The sequence below is a fragment of the Homo sapiens genome, chromosome 12, assembly GCF_000001405.40.
Source record: "Homo sapiens chromosome 12, GRCh38.p14 Primary Assembly".
Classification (NCBI taxonomy): Eukaryota; Metazoa; Chordata; class Mammalia; order Primates; family Hominidae; genus Homo; species Homo sapiens.
The window spans coordinates 45,425,636-45,449,930 of record NC_000012.12 but is presented as its reverse complement, the minus strand read 5'-3'; the positions used below and the strand labels follow the sequence as shown (position 1 = coordinate 45,449,930).

The 24,295-nt window shown below is 39.6% G+C and overlaps 1 protein-coding gene, 1 long non-coding RNA gene and 1 pseudogene across 7 annotated transcripts in view, besides 2 other annotated features; 1 reads left to right on the top strand and 2 right to left on the bottom strand.

Annotated features, from left to right (window-relative positions):
• Positions 1 to 24,295, top strand: part of LOC105369743 (uncharacterized) — a 178,153-nt gene that overhangs the window by 118,914 nt on the left and 34,944 nt on the right. The window lies entirely within an intron of this gene.
• Positions 4,496 to 5,135, bottom strand: MESDP1 (MESD pseudogene 1; annotated as a pseudogene).
• ANO6 (anoctamin 6) overlaps positions 9,527 to 24,295 on the bottom strand; it is a 224,310-nt gene continuing 209,541 nt past the window's right edge. For 5 of the 6 annotated variants that reach the window (NM_001204803.2, NM_001025356.3, XM_005268707.5 and 2 more), the window contains one exon: positions 17,582 to 20,826. In NM_001204803.2, the coding sequence (NP_001191732.1) occupies positions 20,620 to 20,826 (207 nt within the window). In that variant the 3' untranslated portion in view covers positions 17,582 to 20,619. Of the gene's footprint in view, positions 10,257 to 17,581; positions 20,827 to 24,295 lie in introns of those variants that run through there. The other variant, NM_001142679.2, reaches the window with a different exon arrangement.
• Positions 15,343 to 16,249: an enhancer, noted in NCBI's record as "OCT4-NANOG-H3K27ac-H3K4me1 hESC enhancer chr12:45827465-45828371 (GRCh37/hg19 assembly coordinates)". NCBI's record gives its function as "activates a minimal SCP1, AML or CMV promoter by ChIP-STARR-seq in primed H9 embryonic stem cells {active_cell/tissue: H9 hESC(primed)}" and the evidence as "EXISTENCE:reporter gene assay evidence [ECO:0000049][PMID:30033119]".
• Positions 16,250 to 17,158: an enhancer, noted in NCBI's record as "OCT4-NANOG-H3K27ac-H3K4me1 hESC enhancer chr12:45826556-45827464 (GRCh37/hg19 assembly coordinates)". NCBI's record gives its function as "activates a minimal SCP1, AML or CMV promoter by ChIP-STARR-seq in primed H9 embryonic stem cells {active_cell/tissue: H9 hESC(primed)}" and the evidence as "EXISTENCE:reporter gene assay evidence [ECO:0000049][PMID:30033119]".

Genomic DNA, 24,295 nt, shown 5'->3' with positions numbered 1-24,295 from the left:
ATTTAGGCTGGTTCCATATTTTGGAAATTGCAAATAGTATTGCTCTAAACATGCATGTGCAAGTGTCTTTTTCATATAATGACTCCTTTTCCTCTGGGGTATACCCAGTAGTGGGATTGCCAGATCAAATGGTAGTTCTACTTTTAGTTCTTTAAGGAGTCTCCATACTATGTTTCATAGTGGTTGTACTAGTTTATGTTTCCACCAGCAGTTTAAAAGTGTTCGCTTTTCACCAAATCCCTGCCAAAATCTATTATTTTTTAATTTTTAAATTATGGCCATTCTTGCAGGAGTAAGGTGGTACTGCATTGTGGTTTAGATTTACATTTCCCTGATAATTAGTGATGTTGAGCATTTTTTCTTATGTTTGTTGGCCACTTTTATATCTTCTTTTGAGAATTGTCTATTCATATCCTTATCCCACTTTTTGATGGGATTTTTTTTTTCTGATTTGAGTCCCTCGTAGATTCTGTATATTGATCCTTTGTTGGATGCACAGTTTGTGAATATTTTCTCCTACTCAGCAGGTTGTCTGTTTGCTGATTATTTCTTTTACTGTGCAGAATCTTTTTAGTTTAATTAAGTCCCATCTATTTGTCTTTGTTTTTGTTCCATTTGCTTTTGGGTTCTTGGTCATGAAGTCTTTGTCTAAGCCAATGTCTAGAAGAGCTTTTCTGATGTTATCTTCTAGAATTTTTATGATTTCAGGTCTTATATTTAAGTCTTTGATCCATCTTGAGTTGATTTTTGTATAAGGTGAGAGATGGGATCCAGTTTCATTGTTCTGTGTGGCTTGCTAATTATCCCAGCACCATTTGTTGAATAGTGTGTCCTTTCCCTTACTTTATGTTTTTGTTTGGTTTGTTGAAGATCAGCTGATTGTAAGTGTTTGACTTTGTTTCTGGGTTCTCTATTCTGTTCCATTGGTTTATCTGCCTATTTTTATACCAGTACCATACTGTTTTGGTGTTTCCCATTTCATTTCCAATTGAGCTTATTTGGTTTTTCTCTCTTAGTTTCTTGGTTAATTTCACTAGTGGCCTATCAATTTTGTTTATCTTTTCAAAGAACCAGCTTTTTGTTTCATCTATCTTTTGTATTTTTTTGTTCATTTCAGTTTCATTTAATTCTGCTCTGATCTTGGTTATTTCTTTTCTTCTCTTGGTTTGGGTTTTGTTTGTTCTTGTTTCTCTAGTTCCTTGAGGTGTGACCTTAAATTGTCTGTTTGTGCTCTTTCAGACTTTTTGATGTAGGCATTTAAGGCTATGAACTTTCCTCTTAGCGCCACTTTTGCTGTATCTCAGAGGTTTTGATAGGTCACTATTATTGCTCAGTTCAAAGAATGTTTTAATTTCCATCTTGACTGTATTGTTGACCCAAAGATCATTCAGGAGCACATTATTTAATTTCCATGTATTTGTATAGTTGTGAGGGTACCTTTGGAGTTAATTTGAAATTTTATTTCATTGTGGTCTGAGAAAGTACTTGATGTAATTTTTATTTTCTTAAATTTATTGAGATTTGTTTTGTGATATAAGAATAACGACTCCTGCATACTTTTGGTTTCCATTTGCATGGAATATCTTTTTCCACCACTTTAAGTTTATGGGAGTCCTTACATGTTAGGTGAGTCTCTTGAAGACAGCAGATACTTGGTTGGTGGATTTTTACCCATTCTGCCATTCTGTATTTTTTAAGTGGAGAATTTAGGCCATTTACATCATGCCAATTGTTGCCCGAATACCTTGTGTTTTTTTCATTGTGTTAATATTTTATAGGCTCTGTGAGATTTACACTTTAAAGAGGTTGTATATCGGTGTATTTCAAGGTTTTGTTTCAAGATTTATATCTCCTTTTAGCATTTCTTGTAGTGCTCAGTTGGTAGCAGTGAATTCTCTCAGCATTTGTTTGTCTGAAAAAGACTTTATCTCCCCTTCATTTATGAAGCTTAGTTTTGCTGGATACAAAATTTTGGGCTGATAATTATTTTGTTTAAAGAGGCTAAAGATAGGACCCTTTGAAGTTGTAGGGTTTCTGCTGAGAAATCTGCTGTTTATCTGATAGGTTTTCCTTTATATGTTACCTGGATGCTTTTGCCTCCCAGCTCTTAAGATCCTTTCCTTTTTATTGACTTTAGGTAATCTGATGACTATGTGCCTAGGTGATGATCTTTTTGCAATAAATTTCCAGGGTGTTCATTGAACTTCTTGTATTTAGATGTCTAGATCTCTAGCAAGGCCAGAGATGTTTTCCTCGATTATTACCTCAAATAATTTTTCCAAACTTTTAGATTTCTCTTCTTCCTCACAAACAGCAATTAATCTTATGTTTGGTTGTTTAACATAATCCCAAATTTCTTGGAGGCTTTGTTCATTAAAAAATTTTTTTTTCTTTGTTTTTGTCAGATTGGGTCAATTCAAAAGCCTTGTCTTCAAGTTCTGGAGTTCTTTCTTCCACTTGTTCTAGTCTATTGTTGAAATTTTCCAGTGTATTTTGTATTTCTCTGTGTGTCTTTCATTTCCAGAAATTGTGATTGTTTTTTCTTTATGACATCTATTTCTCTGAAGACTGTTTTATTCATATCCTGTATTTTTTTAAAAAAAATTGTTTAAGTTGGTTTTTACAATTCTCTGGTACCTCCTTGAGTAGCTTAATAATCAACCTTTTGAATTCTTTATCTGGCAATTAAGATTTCTTCTTGGTTTGGATTCATTGCTGGAGAACTAGTGTGATCTTTTTGGGGGTGTTCTAGAAACTTGTTTTGTCATACTACCAGAATTACTTTTATGGTTCCTTGTCATTTGGGTAGACTGTTTCATTGGAAATATCTAGAACTCAAGGGCTGCTGTTCAGATTCTTTTGTCCCATGGGGTGATCCCTTGATGTGGTGCTCTCCCCCTTCCCCTAGGGATGGGCTTCCTGAGAGCCAGACTGCAGTGATTGTTATTGCTCTTCTGAGTCTAGCAACCCAGTGGGGCTACTGGGCTCTGGGCTGGGGCTGGGGAATATCTGCAAAGAATCTTGTGATGTGATCTATCTTAAGGTCTCCCAGCCATGGATACTAGCACCGGCTCTGGTGGAGGTGGCAGGGGAGTGAATTGTGAAGTGGATTCTCTGAGTCCTTGTTTGTAGTTTTGTTTTGTGCACTGGTTTCCTTACATGCTGGTTATGCTGGCAGTGACATAATTACATGGACAGACTCAGGACCTCTGGTTAGCCAAGATGTTGCAGGCAGTGGAATTAGCTGTTGTTTTCTCCTTCTTTGGAGCATCGTTGTTCTGTTATGAGTTGCTGTAATGGCTTGAGTTGGTTGGCCTCCAGTCAGGAGGTGGTGCTTTCAAGAGAGTACCAGCTGCAGTAGTATAAGGTGGATATAAGTTTGCCCTGAGTTGTCCAGGATAAGTATTCAGGTTTGTCAGGCAATGGGAGGGGCCATAGAGCTCCCAAGAGTTTGTCTTTTGTCTTTGGCTACCAAGGCAGGTAGAGAAAAACCATCAGGTGGAGGCAGGGTTAGGTGGTTCTGAGCTCAGACTCTCCTTGGGTGGGGGTTGCTGCAGTCATTGTGTGGGATGGAGGGGTAGTTCTCAGGCCAATGGAGTTATGTTCCAAGAGGGATTACAGCTGCCCTTCCTGCGTCATGCAGGTTGCCAGGGAAGTGAGGGAAAGCTGGCAGTGACAGGCCTGACCCAGCTCCCACACAGCCAGCAAGGCCAGTCTTACTCCCACCATGCCCTGCCAGCAGTGCTGAGTTTATATCCAGGCAGCTGGTGGATATGGCTGAGATCTTGCCCCAGGCTACAAGCCTCTCAACTGAGAAAGCAAGCAGGTCTTTCAGACCATGACCCTCCCTGCCTGCCTGCACCATCAGCTGCAGCTTCTGTGCTAGTACCTGCACTTGATTCATCCCCTGGATTCTGCTCAGGAAAATTAGTGCTCAGTTGAAATTATTACAAAGTTCAGCTAGAAGCTTCTTTCACCCTGTGGCCTCTCCCTAATTTTGCTGGCTACCTTCCCCAAGGATCTCTGTGAGGTAAAGTCAGGGATGGCTTCCTTGGGCTCAAGCTGGGAAATGGGAGTGCCTATAGAACTCTTCCCACTGCTTCTTCTACCTTTATATTTCACTGGGTTCCCTAAATCTATTTCAGCTCTAGGTAGGTTAAATCCTTCTCCCTTGATCTGGATTTTCTGGTTCCCCAGTGGGGATGTGTGTTTGGAGGCAGACTTATCCCCTCTCACACTTTGAGAACTCACAGTTTTTCAGCTGTCCCGTGGAGTTTACAGTGGCATGCCACTTTTTTCAATGGGTGTATTTGAAGCCTTTTAAACAATAATTCTTACACTGACCACAAAACTTGTCATGTGGCAGACTCTTTCTAGAAGAAACTAGAATGTCATCCTGTGTGCAGTTTCCTGCACCAGTCCCAACCACATGAGCCCAGCTAGGAGCTCTGTGTGTCCATCTACTTTTCCGCAGACCACCGTGGCTGCCCTGTTACAGGTCTTCTCTGCTATTTCCAGCTTGTCTTCATTGAAAGCCCAAGATTTTGGATCTCTTTTCTTCTTCTTTTCAATGTTGTCTTTATTTTTCTCTTTGCTTCCTTCCTTCTCCTTTGCCAGGGAACACCTGTCCCTCCAGAGGTGCGTCAGCACACTTGTCTTCACTGACAAGAGTTCTTGATCTCCCAGGCATATTTTCCATCATGAAGCATGAAGATAGTATGGTCTGATCCCACAATGAACCTCTGGACATTTCATTAGCATTGAAAAGACTGCCCTGACAGAGGCTCATGATTTCGTCTCTCTTTCTCAGTGGGGTTCCTGATACAGCGACAAACATATAAGAATCTTCCCTTCTTTCATCATTTTCAACGTGCTTTCAGGCTTGCCCAGGTTGATATATAAGAATTGATAGGTATTGAGGGTCTCTTGTGCTCTGGAAGATCTTTTTTTATGTCATCATCCTTCTCCCACTCTACCAGAAGACATGCCATGTCTATATCATTGTAATCATGAATATCTTCCTTCTTCTGAGGAAGTGAGAGAGCCTTACTGGGTGTTCTGGCTGGGCCCTTGGCTGCACAAGCCCCAGGTAGCTGCTGCTGCAGCAGCAGGCCAGAGGCATGAATTAGGACCATTTCCATGCACACCTAGCTGAAGGTTGCCATTTTCTCTTTCTTCATTTTGAGTATATATGTTTGTTTGCATCTACAAATTTCCCTATTAACACTGCTTTTGCTGCATCCCATGGATTTTGGTATGTTGTGTTTTCATTTTCATTTGTCTCAAGATATTTTCTAATTTCTCCTTTATTTTTTGACCCAATGGTTGTATAAGAGAGTATTGTTTAATTTCTACATATTTGTAAATTTTCCCATTTTTTTCTGCTATTGATTTCCAGTTTCATTCCATAGTGGTTGGAAGAGATAACTTGTATGATTTCAGTCTTTTTTAATTTATTTCATGCCCTAACATGTAGATTTTTCTGGATAATGTTCCAAATATACTTGAGAAAAAATGTGTTTTTTTTGCTTTGTTGGATAAAATATTCTATGTATGTCTGTTAGGTCCAATTGGTCTTTAATGTTGTTCAAGACCTCTGTGTCCTTATATTCTGTCTTATATGCTGTCTAGCTGTTCTATCATTAATAAAAGGTGGGGTATTAAAGTGTCTTACTATAATTATAGATCTTTTTCTCCTTTTTAATTCTGTCAATGTTTGCTTAATATATTTAGGACCTCTGAAGTTTGCTATATATGTTTATAATTGTTATATCTTCTAGATGAATCAACCCTTTTATCATTACATAATATCAACATTTGTGTCTTGTAACAGTTTTTGACTTAAAGCCTATTTTGTCTCATATTAGTTTAGCCATCCTTGCTTTCTTTGGTTATTATTTTTATAGTATATCTTTTTCCATCTTTCACTTTCAACCTAAGCATGTCCTTAGATCTAAAGTGAGTCTCCTGTAGATAGCATATAGTAGAATCATATTTTAAAAAATTTAATTGGCCAATCTATGTCTTTTGATTGGGAAGTTTAACCTATTTACATTTAAAGTTATTGCTGATAGGGCAAGACTCACTATTGGTAGTTTGTTATTTTCTTTCTGTGAGTATTATAGTTTTCTTTGTCCCTCATTCCTTCCTTCTTGCCTTCCTTTATGTTTAATTATTTTTGTAGTGACACATTTTTGATTACCTTCTCATTTTCCTTTGCATATATTCTATAGATATTTTCTTTCTGGTAACCATTATAACAATATTCTAAAATTATATAAATATTCTAAATTCTAACAATATTCTAAAATATTCTAAAATTATAACAATATTTTTAAACTGATACCAACTTAAGTTTCATATAAAAATATTACTCTTCTAGAGCTATGCCCCTTTATGTTATTAACATAACACATTACATTTTAATATATTGTGCAACTATTTTTTTTTTTTTTTTGAAATAGAGTCCCTCTCTCCTGCCCAGGCTGGAGTGGAGGGGCGAGATCTTGGCTCAGTGCAACCTGCACCTCCCAGGCTCAAGCAATCCTCCCACCTCAGCCTCCACAGCTAGCTGATGATGATGATGATGATGATGATGATGATGATGATGATGATGATTATTATTATTATTATTATTATTGTATTTAGAGACAGGGTTTCACCATGTTGCCCAGGCTGGTCTCAAACTCCTGGACGCAAGTGATCCACATGCCTTGGCTTCCCACAGTGCTGGGATTACAGGTGTGAGCCACTGTGCCCAGACCTATTGTGTAGCATTAATATAGATTTATTTTTTACGCTTTTGCTTTTATATCCTGTAAAGGAAGAAAAAGTGAAATTATAAACCAAAATTATAATACTGGTTTTGGTATTTGTTCATGTGTTTACCAAGGAACTTTATATTTTTATGCAGTTTTGAATTACTGTCTAGTATGCCTCTATTTAAACTTGAATAAATCACTGCAGCATTTCTTGTAGGGCAGATCTGGTGGAAATAAATTTCTTTATTTGCTTTTCTGGAAATTTCTTAATTTCTCTCATATTTTTTGAAGAATAGTTTTGTCAGATATAGAATTATTGGTGAAGTTCTTTTCTCTTTCAACACTTTAAATATATCATCCTACTGCCTTTTGGCTTGCATGGTTTCTGCTGAGAAATCTGATAGTCTTACTGAGTATCCCTTGTATGTGACAATTTGCTTTTTTCTTGCTACTTTCAAGAATCTCTTTTAAAAATTTTCTTTTAAAATTTTTGTGGGTACATAGTAGGTGTATATATATATATATATATATATATATATATATATATATATATGATATTTTGGGATATTTTGGTACAGGTATACAGTGTGTGATAATCACATCAGGGCAAAAGGGGGATCTGTCACTTCCAGCATTTATCCTTTGTGTTACAATCAAATTGTACTCTTTTAGTTACTTTTAAATGTACAATTATTGACTATAGCCACCCTATTGTGCTATCAAATACTAGGTCTTATTCATTCTAACTACTTTTTGTACCCATTAACCATCCCCATTTCTGCCCCAATTCCCTACCTCCCTTCCCAGCTTCTGGTAGTCATCCTTCAAGAATCAGTCTTTGTCTTTTGATAGCTTGATTATAATGTGTCTCAGTGTAGTTTTCTTTGGGTTTATTCTACTTGGAGCTTGTTCAGCTTCTTGTATTTGTATATCTATGTATTTCCTCAAATTTGGGAAGCTTTTGGCCATTATTTCTTCAAATAAACTCTCTACCCCTTTCTTTCTATTCTCCTGAGATTCCTTTAATGTATATTTTGGTTGGCTTGATGGTATCCCATAGTCCCTTAGGCTCCATTCACTTTCTTCTTTTTTCTTTTGCTACACAGACTTGATAATTTCCAATAACCTGTCTTCAGGTTTGCTGATTCTTTCTTCTTCCTGTTTTTATCTGCTGATGAACACTTCTAATATATTTTCTCAATTCAGTGTTTGTTTTGCAGTTCCAGAATTTGGTTATTAAAAAAATTTCTATTTGAACTTATTTGTGACAGTTGTTTTAAAGTCTTTGTCTAGTAAGTCCAAAGCCTGTATTTCTTTAGGGTTGGTTTTGGAAATTTCTTTTCCTTTGAATGAGTCATATTTCTGTTTCTCTGTATGACTTGTGATTTTGCTTTGGTTGAAAATTGGGCATTTGAAAAACGGCCACCTTTCCTAGTCTTTGCTGACTGTCTCTGTAAGGGAGATGGTATACCTTCTCATAAGGCCAGCATGAAGGCTTAAGTTGTTCTCAGATCTTTTGTCAGCAAACACATTCTCTGGGTCTGTTTGTATGCTTCCCTCCCACCCCAACCTCATTCTCCTATATATATAGCTGCTTTTAAATGTCTTAATTTCCTTAAGAATCTCATCCCTGCTTCTTCTCAGGGCCTGGAACTCTTGCATTATTCTTTCTGCAATCTCTTATCTCCAGATGTTCATGAGTCAGAAGTCCCCCTGCAGTCTTCACATGCCATGGCACCCACCACTGCCATCAATGTTTTCCAACCTGATATCCAAACGATGCTGGCATTTCTATCTGAACTCTGGGTTAGATTATATAGAAATCATTTCCATGGTCAGCCCACAGACAGGTCAGAATATTGCAAACAAGTTTCACACTTTTCCTTTCATCCTGCAAGAGGGAGCCAGAAAATGGGCCACTTCCTCCCAACAATGCCATGCCAGAGAGAAGGTAGGGCAAGGTTGAGCTAAAATGCCGCAATATTACTGCCATTTTGAGTATGGCTTTTTTTTTTTTTTTTTGATTGGACATTTACTTGTTTGCTGCAGATCTTTGGTCTCCAGGGCTCCTATAAAGCTATTTTAGTCATTAGTTGTTTACTAGATATTTCCTTGGAAGAATGAGAGTCTGGCCATGTGCAGTGGCTCACGCCTGCAATACCAGCACTTTGGGAGGCCGAGGCAGTCAGATCATCCGAGGTCAGGAGTTGGAGACCAGCCTGGCCAAAATGGTGAAACCCTGTCTCTACTAAAAATACAAAAAAAAAAATTAGCCAGGCATGGTGGTACATGCCTGTAATCCCAGCTACTCAGGAGGCTGAGACAGGAGAATTGCTTGAACCTGGGAGGTGGAGGTTCAGTGAGCTGAGATCGTGCCACTGCACTTCAGCCTGGGAGTGAGACTATGTCTCAAAAAATAAATAAATAAATAAATGGGAGCCTGGGACTTCCTGTTCTATCATCTTGCCGATGTCCTCAAGAAATATATTCTTAAGCACACACATGAAACCTTCACAAAAACAGATTATATGTCAGTTCAAAACTCATCTCAATAACTGTCAAAAAATCAGTATTAGAGTATACAGAAACTTTTCTTGCTTTAATGCATTTAAGGTTAGACTTGATAATATAAGGGCAGTCTTACAGATTTCAAATCACACAACAAAGCAACTTAGGTGAAAAAGAAATGAGGCTCAATTCAAGAGATCAAAACCATCCTGGCTAACATGGTGAAACTCCGCCTCTACTAAAAATACAAAAAAATTAGCCAGGCATGGTGGTGGGCGCCTGTAGTCCCAGCTACTTGGGAGGCTGAGACAGGAGAATGGCGTGAACCTGGGAGGCAGAGCTTGCATTGAGCTGAGATCACGCCACTGCACTCCAGCCTGGGTGACAGAGTAAGACTCTGTCTCAAAAAAAAGAAAAAAGAAAAAGAAATTAGGCTCAATTAAATTACCTTTTAAAAATTAAAATGGCATGAAGGCATTTCAGATTGAAAAGCAAAACAAGGGAGGATCTAAAATACTTTTAATAATAGCAACAACAAAAAACTATACATATAAAAGCTTGTGGGTTGCAGCTCAAATACGATTTAGAGGAAAATTAATGGTCTTAAATGCCAGTATTGGAATATTAATGAGCCAAACAATGCTACTCTATCTTGAGCACATGAAACAATGCTGGCCACATAATAGACACACAAATATTTGTTGAATGAATTATTGAATAAATCTAACTTAAGAAATTCGATACAGAAAAACACGGAGTTGGCCCCAAAGAAAGTAGAAGGAAAAAGAAAGTAACAGAAAAGAAAATAGATATTATTGAAATAGAAAATATATAATAGAGGGAGTCAATAAAGTCAGAAGTTAGTTGTTCCAAAAGTCTAATTTCATCGACAAACCTATAACACATACAGCAGTCAACTGGGAGGCGGAGGTTGCAGTGAGCCAAGATCATGCCACTGTGTCCCAGCCTGGGCAACAAAGCGAGATACTGTCTCAAAAAAAAAAAAAAAAAAAAGCAATTAAATCATATCTTGAATACTCTGGTAATTATTGTCTTCAGGTAAGCTGAATGAAAATGAGTGTTAGTATTTACCTTTGAGAATTTGTTTAAAGGTCCAAATTCAAATGCCCTCATGTCCAGACAGACTGCCTTTTACCATTCTCCCATGGACAAGGAGTAACAGGGCATCAATATCATGATAGCCTTGTTTGATTTGCCTCCTGCTTAGGTTTGTCTCCAACTGGGCAGACCAGATGGGAATTAGTTCATGAGAACCACACCGCAGATGAGTTTGGGAGTTTGCTCGATGCAGTGTTTTGATATGGGGATTGAGAAATTCAGAGTCCCAGATCCATTTCAATGGCCTTTTGCGTTGGCCTCTGTGTGACCTGTGATTAAGCGCTGGCATCAGCCCACTCTAGTAGGCTACTGTAACTGCATCCTGGACTGTGACTCACTTCAGTGGTGGGCTGGTGGCTGGAGAAGTAGCAGCATCTATACTCAAGACACACAGGTGACACTTCCTCATAGTCCTCACAGCTCACCATCAGGACTTCTGACTAGCCATTGTACCAAACCAAGCTTTACTCATCTTGATTTGGTGACTTGAGCAAGCAACTGTCATTCTTAACATTATGCTACTTTCCTGGATATACTTCCTACATCTTTTGGTTAGAAAATCTATTATCAGGACAGATGAGGCATTTATTCATTAATTCAACAAGTATTTATTGAACATCTCTTTTCCAAGTGTGCTATAAATACTGAATTAATACACAATATTCCCTGTTTGAAAGAAATATCTTTAATGGAATTACTCCCTGCATATGGCTTACAGGATCAATGTGGGTCATGTTTTTGCAGTGGGCCTCTAGATGACACCAGGATTTATAGTTCTGATCACTTTTTGCACACTAGTCACACTACTACAAGTTGAATATCCCTTATTTGATATCCTTGGGACCAGAAGTGTTAAAAATTACAGATTTTTTTGAATTTTGAAATATTTACATATACGTAATAGGATATCTTGGGGATGGGGCCCAGGTCTAAACACAAAATTTGTATTTCACATACAGCTGATACACATAGCCTGAAGGTAATTTTATTTTCTCTTGGGGATGCTGAACAAAGTGTGTTTTGGGTGCCTGCATTTTTACTGTGACCTGCCACATCAAGTCAGATGTGGAATTTTCCACTCATGGCATCACATTGGCACTCAAAAAGTTTCTGATTTTGGAGCATTTTGGATTTCAGATTTTTGGATTTGGGATGCTCAATCTGTATTGCTGATCACATGTCCTTTTCTGGGACTCCAGGATTTCCAGGAAAACAGCTTGGAATGAAATATATATGTGTGTATATATATCTTACACACACATACATACACACACACACACACACACACACATACACGCAAATATGTGCTGAATGTGGCAGGATACACAAAAGAAACCACAGCAGGCCTTATCACACTATGTAGCCCAGGATGGACAACTAGGAAATGAGGAAGACCAAGAGCTCAGTGGGCATTGGGCAGGATGAGGCAGCTTGCCTGAGCGGAAGCACCAGCGCAGACCCTGCATCAGAGACAGAGCTTTACTAGAGGTTGGCATTGACCAGAAAATGGATTTCACATGCATAGAGAGTGGAAAGACTGCGCTGGTCTTTTTTGCTACCCTCGTGCTTGAAGTTTTACTAGCCAACTTAAATGTAAATGCTATGATTAGCTCTGGTCCAAATTTTTATAAAGCAGTGGTTCTCAGAACAATTTTACACTCTTAAAAGTTTTGAGGTCGGGTGTGGTGGCTCATGCCTGTAATCCTAACACTTTGGGAGGCAAGGTGGGTGGATTGTCTGAGCTCAGAAATTTGAGACCAGCCTGGGCAACATGGTAAAACCCCGTCTCTACTAAAAATACAAAAAATTAGCTGGGCGTGGCATGTGCACCTGTAATCCCAGCTACTAGGGAGGCTGAGGCAGGAGAATTGCTAGAACCTGGGAGGCACAGGTTGCAATGAGCCGAGATTGCGCCGCTGCTCTCCAGCCTGGGCGACAGAGCGAGACTCTGTCTCTCAAAAAAAAAGTTATGAGAGCCCACAAAAACCTTTGTTTGTATGAATCATATGTATGAATATAGTAAATACTGTATTAGAATTAGAAATTACTGTATTAGAAATGAAAACAGAACATTAAAAAAAATTTAAAATAAGAATAAGCCCATTGCATGTAAAACATAAAATGTTGTAATGGAAAAGAATGTACTTTTCAAAATAATCTAGTGAGAAGAGTGGCATTGTTTTTTATTTTTAATGTCTGGCTTAACAGCAAGCGGCTAGATGCTCATACCTGCTCCTGCATTCAGTCTATGCCCATGTTCCATGTCATGGAGCCTCTGGAAACTCCACTCTATGCTCGTGAGAGAATGACAGTAAAAAGGCAAATCATGTCTTTGTGTTATTAGGAAAATAGTTTTGTGTTTGTGGACCTCCTGAAAAGGACTTAGACCCTCCCAGGGGAATCTAGACCACACTTTGAGAACACTGTTCTAGAATTTCATGGCTGACAAGGTGCTTTCAACATATGTCAACCCTTGTCTTTTCCACACAGGTTTCACTGAGGACAGAGGAAGGTTAAGGTATAACCCTGGGGCCTAGATGAAGCAGCTTACTGTAAGTGTGGAATTTCTTTTTTTTTGGACAGAGTTTCACTCTTGTTGCCCAGGCTGGAGTGCAATGGCGCAATTTCAGCTCACTGTAACCTCTGCCTCCCAGGTTCAAACAATTCTGCCTCAGCCTCCCTAGTAGCCGAGATTACAGGTGCCTGCCACCACACACGGCTAATTTTTTGTATTTTTAGTAGAAATAGGGTTTCACCATGTTGGCCAGGCTGGTCGTTAGCTCCTGACCTCAGATGATCCACCAGCCTCGGCCTCCCAAAGTGCTGGGATTACAGACGTGAGCCACCATGCCCAGCTGGAATTTATTTAAAGATTGTTATTTTATATTAAACATTCATTTGAATTTTGCATGCAATTTCAAAATATATCTGTGTTTGTTTTAATACGACCATTTCTCCTTTAATCATTGAAACATTCACCTCCAAGGGGATTACTCATGTTGATCCTGTGGTTTCTTATACACCCTGAATCCAGGGTGAGAAGCATAGACATTAGGGACTTCATAATGACGCCAAGTAGTGGAAACAAGCCCCATTGTTATGGATTAGGAAGTTAGAGCCTAGAGAGGTTAAATGCCTTTGTGGAAATAAAGATCAGCCAAATGAGAACAAGCAAAGCCTATTTATTCAGAGCTTGCTATAGCAAGGGAGTCAGCCACTGTCACTTGTGTTTTGACAGAGACTCAAAGGCAGGCAGAGGAGTAGGAAGGCTTCAGCTATGCCCTGATTGGTGGCTGCTGGCATGGGGAAGCTGTAGGCAGCTAAGCAGAAGTGGGCATTCTATGTTATGGTTAGGGGGGCATATTTGGCTTTCTCTGGTTGGTCCTAGGGTACAAGCAGGAACTGGAATTAGGGAAGCTGTTATTCATCAAGTCCTGGTCATACTGGGCCAATTGTTAGAGAGGTGTTGTTTAGGTTCCTGGTTTGTCACTAGACATAGCATTCTGACCTCCTACAAGTCTGACTTATAGTAGGCTGGCTTCCTGGGCTGATTGTAGATAAAGGGGTTAGTTTCCTGGGCAGGTTGCTGCAGGCTGAGGGTCAGTGATCTATTTTTATATAAGCTCTGGCCATTGTCCATTTGTATATTCAGTTTCTTAACTTGCTAAAATTTATGAAGCTGGCCAGTGGCAGATCCAGGACTTGAATCAAGGTCCTCTATTTCTAAATCTTATGTCTTTTCCCATATCATAGGCAGGCTGCCTTGAACCCAGGTAAAACCACCATCGATGCTGTCTTTGCCCCAGACCTTGCCTTCATTTTTTTTTTTCAGTGAGTTTGTGTTGTACTCTAAATGTACTTGTCCAGCCTAATTAAAACATGGTATGTTTTTGATGATGCCAACTATATTCTTAAGATACTTAGATCAGAAGATTAAAACCTTCAGTTTTTACCCCAAAGTTTCCTTTCCTTCTCATCATTTACAATATGCAGGGTAGGTGGGAAGGAAGGGGAGTACATTTGCCTCAGGCTCTGGTTCACAGATGACAAAGATGTGGCTTAGTTTGCATAGCATGGCTTGGTCAAAGAGTTCCTAAGAAAATGTTTGGAGGACTGATACAAAGATATGTTTGTAACAGACTGGCCATCCTGGCAGAAACTGGGCTGCACTGAGGGGTGGTTTGTGAGCAGGACACTGGTGTGCTCTCTCTTTTACTATTAGGTGCAGCAGCTAAAGTGGTGGAATTTATAGTAAGCAATTAGTTGCCCATGACTGGATATGTTAAGAAAGACAAGCTTTGGAAGACAATAATATTGTGGAATTATCCAGGCTGACAAACTGCCAAGGGTTGGAGCCCTGAATACAATAGGAAAACCCAGGGAAAAAGCTCTGAGGAGACATCCAGGGATCCATTCATTTTATAATAGAGAGTGCCATAATCAAGTATTAGGAATTACACTGTTCACATTGAACAGGTAATAGAGCTTCAAGAGATGATGTGGAAGAATATTGTCTGGGAAAAGTTCTGTTCTAGGCTTTCAGTGCAATTTCCTAGATTAAAACAAGGAAGGCAATGCAATGATTTATCCTCATGAAGGAGACTGAAGAAGAGGTCTCAAGAACGCATTAACCTGCCTCATTATTAATGAAGGGTGAGTGTTTATGTGATAGTTCTCTATGGGATCCCATGAGAGCTCCTGGTGTTGTATTTGCCCCACCACCACCAATGAAAAGAGCATTTAAACAATTTCCTGGGAGCTGCTCCTTACATATGTTTGCTTTTCAGTCTTTTAGGGAGCAATTGAAATGGAATATTTTTTCTTAGTTATACCCAGAGGTTTCCCACAGAGCAGAAATGAGGGACAGGGAGCCTTCTGTTAATTGTTGGAGTCTCCAGAGAGATTTCCCTTTGTTTAATTGTCTTTTATTTCCCTGGATTCTTTGCACTGCCTCCCTCCTTCCTCTTCTATCCCAGTCCTGGGAAAAGGGTTGCTGTAAGATTTTGATCTTGAAGCTAGAGCCCTGCAATGGTGAATATTGATTGTCCCAAAGGAACCAAAATACTTGAAGGTAAAATTTGATTTGATTTAAAGACAAAGTAGGGGAGAAAAAGCCCAGCGGTGTGGTCAGCCCGTGAATTTTGTTGCAGCCAGTGCTGTCGCTTGTTTCCAGGGCTGTAGCATGTTCTGTACCACAGAGCAGGCCTCTTACCTGCAGCTTCCTCTTAGGTGACTGACAGCGATTTATCACTCTGACTCACCTCAAGCGACAATGACAAGAAAGAAAGTAATGGCAGGGTATTTTGTAACATAAATGTGCTTATCCACCCTGAACGGTATTAGGAATCACAGTCTACTTGCTTGAGTTCCTGTGCGAAGTGGTTCTAATTAGAAGAACTAGGTTTGATTATGGCCAAGAACAGGTGAAATTATGAGAAATGAAGGGCAAGACCGATCTCAGGCGTATCTTCCAGTTGGTAAAGTGACAAAAATCAAATCATTCCAGCATTGTAAAGGATCCCATGTGCTGAACTGTTTTCGGGAATGAGGCAAGGGGTTTAAAGGGCTACCTGTCTTATCTTTGTTTTCTGCTGGGAAATGGAAATGCTATTAAGAGCATTTGTAAAATCTGTTTCATAACCAAAGGAAAACATCTCCCCAAATAAAATGAAATGGTCACAGCCACAGCAGGTTATTCTAGGATTTCCCCTTCATTTATGCTTGAATGCTCCATGGAATCCGAAGGCTCTGGGTGGGGTCAGTTCTCCTTCTCCCCTCAGGAATGCTGCAAGGCAGCCTCCCTATTGTGAGAACTGCTATCAAACTCCTTGAATCTTAACGGTGACGGTGACGAGGGCTCAAAGAGCACATCAGAAGAGAGAGCTTAGGAGAGAAGGCAGATGAGTCCTCACCAGGGACAAAGATCACATTCTTGCCTACAGCATTCCGTTCTGAAGTTCTCCACAGGTTCCCCATTGCTTATCAATGGCAAAACTCACCGTGTTAGGTTCACAGCTTCATTCCCAGTGATCCAATCTACATTTCCCCAGGATTTATCTGTCATCATGACCAACCTCCCTCCTGACCAACCCCAGTATGATCCAAGGGCAGGAGTTTGCCAAAGTAATGCACTCGAGTATTTGTCCTACTGCCCAGCAAACATCCACTGCCCTTGTATCGGTAATAATGTGGAAATAAGCAAAGACCATCCACATGAGAAGGAAAGGCTATTTATTCAGAGCATGCTATAGCAAAGGGAGTCAGCCACTCTCACTGGTGTTTTGACAAAGACTCAAAGGCAGGCAGAAGAGTGGGAAGGCTTCCGCTATGCCTGATTGGAGGCCACTGATGTGGGAAGCTGTAGGTAGCTAACTAGAAGCGGGTATCCTATGCGATGATTAGCAGGGCATATTTGGCTTTCTCTGGTTGGTCCTAAGGTATAAGCCGGGACCAAAATTAGGGAAGCTGTCAGTTATTCATCAAGTCCTGGTCATATTGGGCCAATTGTTACAGAAGTTATTCTTTAGTTTCCTGGATTGTAACTGGAGAGAGCACTCTGACTTTGTTAGTATAACCTACTGCAGGCTGGCTCTCTGGGCTGACTATTGCAGATAGCAGGGGCAGGGTGTGGATAGAGTTCTGCTTTTACATATGATCTGGCCATTGTCCATTTACATATTGCCTCTCAGTAATGAAGGGGAGACAGGGAACACAACCTAAATGGTTCTGGGAAAGGTGTCCTATAGAGAGAAGGCAGCAAGAGAAAGACGTTTCTAGTTTTGCCAGTTACGTCCTCTCGGTCACTATTGGTCATATAACGAGTATTTTAAAAAGGAAATGAATGGAATATGCTACATTTATAAGTGCTATTGCAGATATTTTAACACATTTCATTAAACTAGTAGGTGAAATCAAACATTATTCAAAAGTCTGGTAAAAAGTGGTAAAATTTGCTAGATTGATGAAAAGAATAGGATTTGGGCTGAGTTTAATAACTAGCTTTTCTGATCTGTAACCTTAATACACTGAATATAATTTTTAAAAATCCATAGCAAATCTCTGAAGTGAAGGCTGTGAAAAATCTACACAAAAGCACACATTTATCTAAGTGATACACAACTGGCCACTAGTAAATAGCAGATATATGTTCTCTTCCTTAAAAACGTTAAGACAATATAGAATAGACCATACTATTGTTTGTAAAAATGAATTTATTAAAATGCTCATAATTATAAAAGAATATTAAAATGCACAGAAATTAACATTAATAATTATAAAAGAATATTAAAATGCACAGAAATTAACATTAATTACAAACTTTACATCTTATGCCACAATGTGTGAAAAGCATCATGAATAGTTCTACTTCAGTTAAGCTGCTCATACATTTTTACCCTCTCAAACATAATATGAACATAAAATGGTACAAGAAGTGTTTCAACAAGAGTACATTCTGACCCCCATTGTGAATTAATGTTTTATGAAATTCAAGGCACACATGCAATAAAAAAGGGAAGACTTTGGTGACAGTTTATAAGATGGCCTTGTTTAGTTTTAAAATAAAAATGATAGCTTTCCCTTTCTAATGATATATAGCTAAATTATCTGAGGGATGTTTAATGAAAAATCCCCTGAGTATTTGCTCTAATGTTTCAATATGCTAAAATTCACAGGCATTAAAAAAGGATATAAAGCTCAGTTTCTCTAGTGGTTAACACTGGACAGGCTGAAGGCTAGATTCTCCCTCTTCACAGGTCCACTGCCACACCCATCAATTTCCCCAGGGCTGCTGCCTCTGAAGCCACTTACAGATGCAGCCACCATTGTCTGCAGACACAGCTCCATGCTTTTCTTTATCACTGCAAGTCAGCCGTGGACTCACTAACAAACACTGTGGATGGCATGGGGAAATGACCCTGCATCTCCACTACAACTTTGCTCTTTTGGGCATCTTAACAGTGTCAGATATTACATTTGGTGCCTTTCAATATGTAGAGGGTTTTTTTTCCCCTCCTGTCCACAGCAGCACATTTAATCTATGAAGAGGATTTTCTCTGCTGGGGCTATGAAAACAAATGCACATTTCTTTTAAGTTCTATCATACATACAGGAGATAAGGTAAAAACATTTCCTTTTCTATGCTGACATACATGGCGAGTAACTGCCAAATTTAAACACTAGGAGATAGTCACACACTTCAGAGAAGAGAAGAGGTACTAGAGAGGAAGTGACACCCGCTTCCAGAAGCAGTATCTCAGGAGTGAAGAGAGGAACAGTGGCACTCCCGTCTTGGCTGCGAATGAGAAAGAGTTTCCTTCAGTGGGAAGAAATTCATTTCTCCATCCCAGTGCAGTCAGACTTCATGGGGCCTGTCTTGAACTCTGATTGCATCATTAACACGATCAAGAGAGACAGTGAAATGGGGTCCCGGATCCACTGGGACAATTCAAAAGCCTACAATACTGCTTTGATGGATCCTACATAATTACTTACAAATCATTCATGGCAGGCATTTGAAATCAATCATGACCTAGAGTTACGCTACTTTATTGTAAAAAGCCTCTAAAATCTGAGTTTTCCTTTGCTGCTGGGATTCTGATAGGTTGGCTCCTCTGGTGTTTAACAGCATCCCAGTGAAGCCCATGCAGCATGACCATGATGCAAATCACCTCCCTCTTGTGCACCCAGCAATGACCTGTTACCAGTAGGGGTGAGAGGGCCTGGCTCCCTGTCTTTTCCAGAGCGCCCAGGAGGCCTGACACTTACAAGGCAATAAAGTGAAGTAGACTGCTAGGCTGAGCAAAAGTGAGGGGGCAAGACGTGCATGGCAAGACAGGAGTGCAGCAGGAAGTAATCTCCAGATAATGGTAGGGTTTGTGACCAAACCCTTTTCCTTTATTACTCTTAACTGCCTGATTGGCTCTAGAGGAGGCTAAAAAATCAAATCTAATCTGAGTCTCTTTACTTGATTATGAATAAGCTGGGTATACTCCTGTCTCTAGTACAATCAGACAGTTACATCAAATTACTGGGCCCAGAGTAACAGGATGGAGGATGCAAGGAAGCCACATTCTTTATGGCAGAGACTTTGGTGTGTTGATCACTTTGGCATACAGAAATAAGCCAATTCCTGCAGACTCCTTGACAAAAGGCACTCCCCACCCAATGACCACAATGAGGGCACTTGCTGTTTCTGCCCATGCACACAGTTGTACCCCAATGGCTGTGTAGTGAGCCATTCACAAAGGCAGCTGGTGATGTGTAATACTGCACCTTCTGTATCTAATGAATAAAAGTCAACTGGTAGAAAATTGAGGGGCTTATCTTTTCCAGACAATTATGTTGATAAAAATGTAATTTTAATCATGTGATATCACTGTTTTCCAAGAAACTACACATCTTTAGAAAAGATTAATTATCCAGATCAACATGAGTTAAAATGCTGTTTGAATCTGTAACTTTCCCTGCTTTTGTCATTTTATTCCCTTGAGATCTGCAAAGCAGTCAACATTGATTAGGCACGGAACCTCCTAGGAGTGCTCCTGGAAGATAAAAAGTGTCACTGTGGATTAGGACAAATATGCTTCAAAACCTTGCTATCTTCACTCCAACCTACTAAGAGTATTTTTTTGAGATGGAAAGACATGCTCAAATGAAGACTGAAACTATTTCCTCTGATTAACTGAGGTTTCCTTTCTGGAGGTATTGAAAATACACCTAAATATTGTGAATCCTTGAGTCTAGTTAGCTATTTTTAATCACATGAAAGCTATTAAATTAAATCTATAATGATGGTACTGTAAGGAAAAGATGACCCTGGAACAGATCTAGCCAAGTGAAGAAATGAAACATGGCTTAAAAATAAAGGAGATCATGCGCCTGAGAATAGACAGAAATGAAAATAATCAAACAGAAAAAAAAGAATCCATTCTACTTTAGAAGGGGTGGTTTTTAAGCACACTGAGGGACTTTTTCTGTAAAATTCCAATTTATCAGAAAAAGGTAACATTGAGGTTTTCCGGGTGATAAGTTTTATGCCCTTCATGATCTAAGTTTTACATTTTCCAGTTTCTGCATCGCTAGCTGAAACTGAAAAATAATACATGAGGAAATGGCAATAGTTGAGACTCATATTTGCCAAAGTGATTTAACTTACACATTCTCATTAGTGATTCCTAATATATTTTGACAAAGCTAAATTCCTTAAAGTGCTTCTCAGAACATAAAGCTCTTATTCTGATTTTGGCCGTAAATTGTTATCTACTGCTTCTATCATCCGCTCAGCTATCACCCCCATATTTTTCGTCATATCTTTGAGGTGATTCTCATGAAGAAGCTTTTGGGTTAGGTATTTTTCTCTCTGGATCTTGCTCTTTGTGCGTTTTGATACATCGGGAATTGCATATGAAATGAAAAATTTCACAGAGTAGATGACGTGCTGGGGAAGAGAAGAAGAAAAATGTCACTCACAAAGAAATGGAGGAGAACACCGAGTTCCTTTCATTCTTGCTTGTCATTATGGCAGTTTATCTGGACAAGGCAGTGGACATTTTACACACACAACCAACCGCTAATGCCATTGTGTCTAATCAACAGTGTGGCTCTAGCAGTTACTGTTACTTTACACATTTAAATAATACTATGTGATATGTAGAAAAGTATATATACACACATATAATGGTTATAAAGGATAAAGAAAAAATGAATACCTCAAAAAACCTCCATTAAACTTAAAAACTAGGATGCTGACAATGCTGTTGTATTTTGTGTCTCTTTTTCTAATGGCCTTGCACTTCTCCAAAAGTCAGTGCTATCATATCTGTACAAGTATATGTGTATCATTCTCACTTATTTTTTAAAAAGTTTGACAAAATATGTATATATACCCCCAAAATATAGTCTTCCTTGACTTCACCTTTATGATGCTGCATGCAGTCTTTTGGAAATTGCTGTCTTTCTTTTGGATCAGGTTCTCACTCTGTCACCCAGGCTGGAGTGCAGTGGCATGATCATAGCTCACTGAAGCCTCCTACTCCTGGGCTCAAGTGATCCAGAAGTATGCCACCATGCCTGGCTACTTTTAAAATTTCTTTGTAGAAACAGGGTCTCGCTATGTTGCCCAGGCTGGTCTCAAACTCCTGTCCTCAAGCAATCCTCCCAACTTGGCCTTCCAAAGCGCTAGGATTATAGGTGTGAGCCACCACGCCAGGCCACCTTTTGTTCAAAACTATTTCCTAAGATTGTTATTCTATAAAACTAGTCCACTAATTTTCACTGCTGTATAATATTCTTCTGTGTGACTACACTATAATTTATTTGTTCCCCTATGAACAGGCATTGAGGTTGTTTCCAGTTTTTGTTTTAGGAAAAATGCTGTTGTGAACATTATTGTGCTTGAATCCTAGAGCATTATCTGCAAGTTTCTCAAGAGTGTGGACCTAGGAGTGGGACTGCTGAGACTCTATGTCATGTGAATGTTCCATTTTATAAGATGATACCAAAACATTTTTCAAAGCAGGTATACCAACTTACACTCCCACAGCAGCAATAGTTTCAGTTGCTCTACATCTTCGTATCATCAAACCTTTTTTTTTTTTTTTTTTTTTGAGGCAGAGTCTTGCTGTCACTCAGGCTTGAATGCAGTGGTGCGATCTTGGCCCACTGCAACCTCCATCTTCCGGGTTCAAGCGATTCTCCTGCCTCAGCCACCTGAGTAGCTGGATTACAGGTACCTGCCACCATGCCCGGCTAATTTTGGGTTTTGCCATGTTGCCCAGGCTGGATCAGGCTTTTTTTTTTTTTTTTAAACCAACTTAGTGATTATGAAATGGACTTTCCCTTTGGTCTTACTCTGCATTTTCCTGATTACCAATGAGGTTAAACACCTTTTCATTTTTTAATTTATCAATCAAAAATCTCTGACCTAGCAAGGGGAGAGAGATAATATAAGCATAATTAAAAACAAATTATTCATGGTGTTAAAAAGTGATGAGTACTTTGAAGAGATTCTTCTGTAGATTAGTCTGGATATGCCTAAGTGAGCAAACACTTTAAGGAGGTGAGGGAACAAGCCCTACAGATATCAGAAGAAAAGACATTCTAGGTAAAGGGAATAGCCAATGCAGAGCTGGTTTGGAGGAGCCTCAGAATGCATTCGAGAAAAGGCAAGGATGGTGCGGAGCAGGTGACGAGAAGAGAAGTGATGTCTGAGGGGCACTGGGGCGTGGCTGGATCCATGAGGCCTTGTGTGCCACTGTGAGGACTCTGGCTCTGACTCTGAGTGAGAGAGGAAGGGCAAGCCCAGCTAGGAGACTCTGGCCCTAATCCAGGCAAAAAATGATAGTGGCTCTGACCTGGTGGTAGCAGCACAATTGGTCTGAAGTGCTCACTGATAAAGGAAAAGCCAACCAGATTGGATATAGCATTAGGGTTCCAAGGATTCTGGCCTGAGCAGTGTTGAGATGGAGTTGCCATAATCAAGAGGGAAATACTGTGGATGGGAGAGATTTTGGGCTGGGTTGGGAGGAGAACATTTGGAGTGAATGGAGGAAAATATAGGCATGTGGGGCAGCAGATGTGAGACATCTATTAGGGATCCAAGCAGAAAGGTCAGGTAGGCCGTTGGATTCATGGGTGGAGTTCAGGAGAGGGGTGCTCTGCAAACAGCCATTTTAAGGTCCTTTTAGCATACAGATGGTATTTAGAGCCAGCAGACTCCAGGAGATCATCAACAGACCAAGGAGAGAGAAAAGATGACAACCAAGGGATGAGTCCCAGGATCACTAAGAGAATAAGTGACTGGCATAGAACCTGAGGTGGAATGGCCAGGGACGCAGGAGGAAAGCGTACTTTCCTAGGAGCCCAGTGAGGAGGAGTTTCCAGGGGCAAGTGATGAGGAAAATCTGAAGTCAGATTTTCAGCAAAAATTTGACTCAGATTTTTGCTAAGTCAAATGTTGCTAAGTCAGGTGAGGGGAGGGTTGGGGAAGTGGTGGCTGCTGCTAACTTTGGCAAGAGCAGCTTCAGTGAAGTGGAGGGGGTGAAAGCATGATAGAAAGATAGAGGAATCGAGGACAGCATGTACTGGCAACTCATTCAACGGCGCTGGCCACAAAGAGGAAAAGAGAAGTGAAGCAGGACTGGTGAGGTAAGGATGGAGAGAATTTTGAGATGTGAGAGATATTAGTGTGTTTAGTGATAATGGAAATTATATAGTAAAGCGACAAAGGTTGATGCTGTAGGAAAGAGTTCTTTCATCTATTTCTGAGGTAGGGAATATTTATAGATATGTGGAATTTCTGTGTTATGCCACCCTTGCATTTCCAGCTTAAAGCCTGGTGGCATGATGTTATCTTTTTGAAATATATTGCTAGATTCAGATTTGTACATTTTTAAAAATTTTGCGTAAAGGTATACAACATGATGTTGTAAGACACATGTATGTAGTGAGCCCTCAACATCATCGACAGGTTCCTGGAAACTGCAACTCCAGGTCCTTGAATAACGTCATTTCCTTCAATGCTGTTTCGTTACAGCATTGATTAGAAAAAACACTGGTTTTGTTAGAAGTTGTTGTCTTAAAGTCATGGTTTCCAAGAGCCTAATAAGGATGTTAAGTGAGGACTTACTCTATAGTGGAACAAATTAACATGTCCATCATCTCACTTTACACATCTTAGAAAGATCTTTGCATCTATGTAATGAATAGGGTTGGCTTCATTTTCCTTTCTCTCTTCTTGTCTGATTTTAGGATTTAGGCTACTCTTAGCCTCACCAAATGAGTTGGAGAGTATTTCCTCTTTCTCATCTCTGAAGGCATTTGTATAGGATTGAAATGATCTGTTTTAAAAAGCTTGGTATCACTCCAATAAAAACCACATGGTCTGGTGTTTTCATTGTAGAAATATT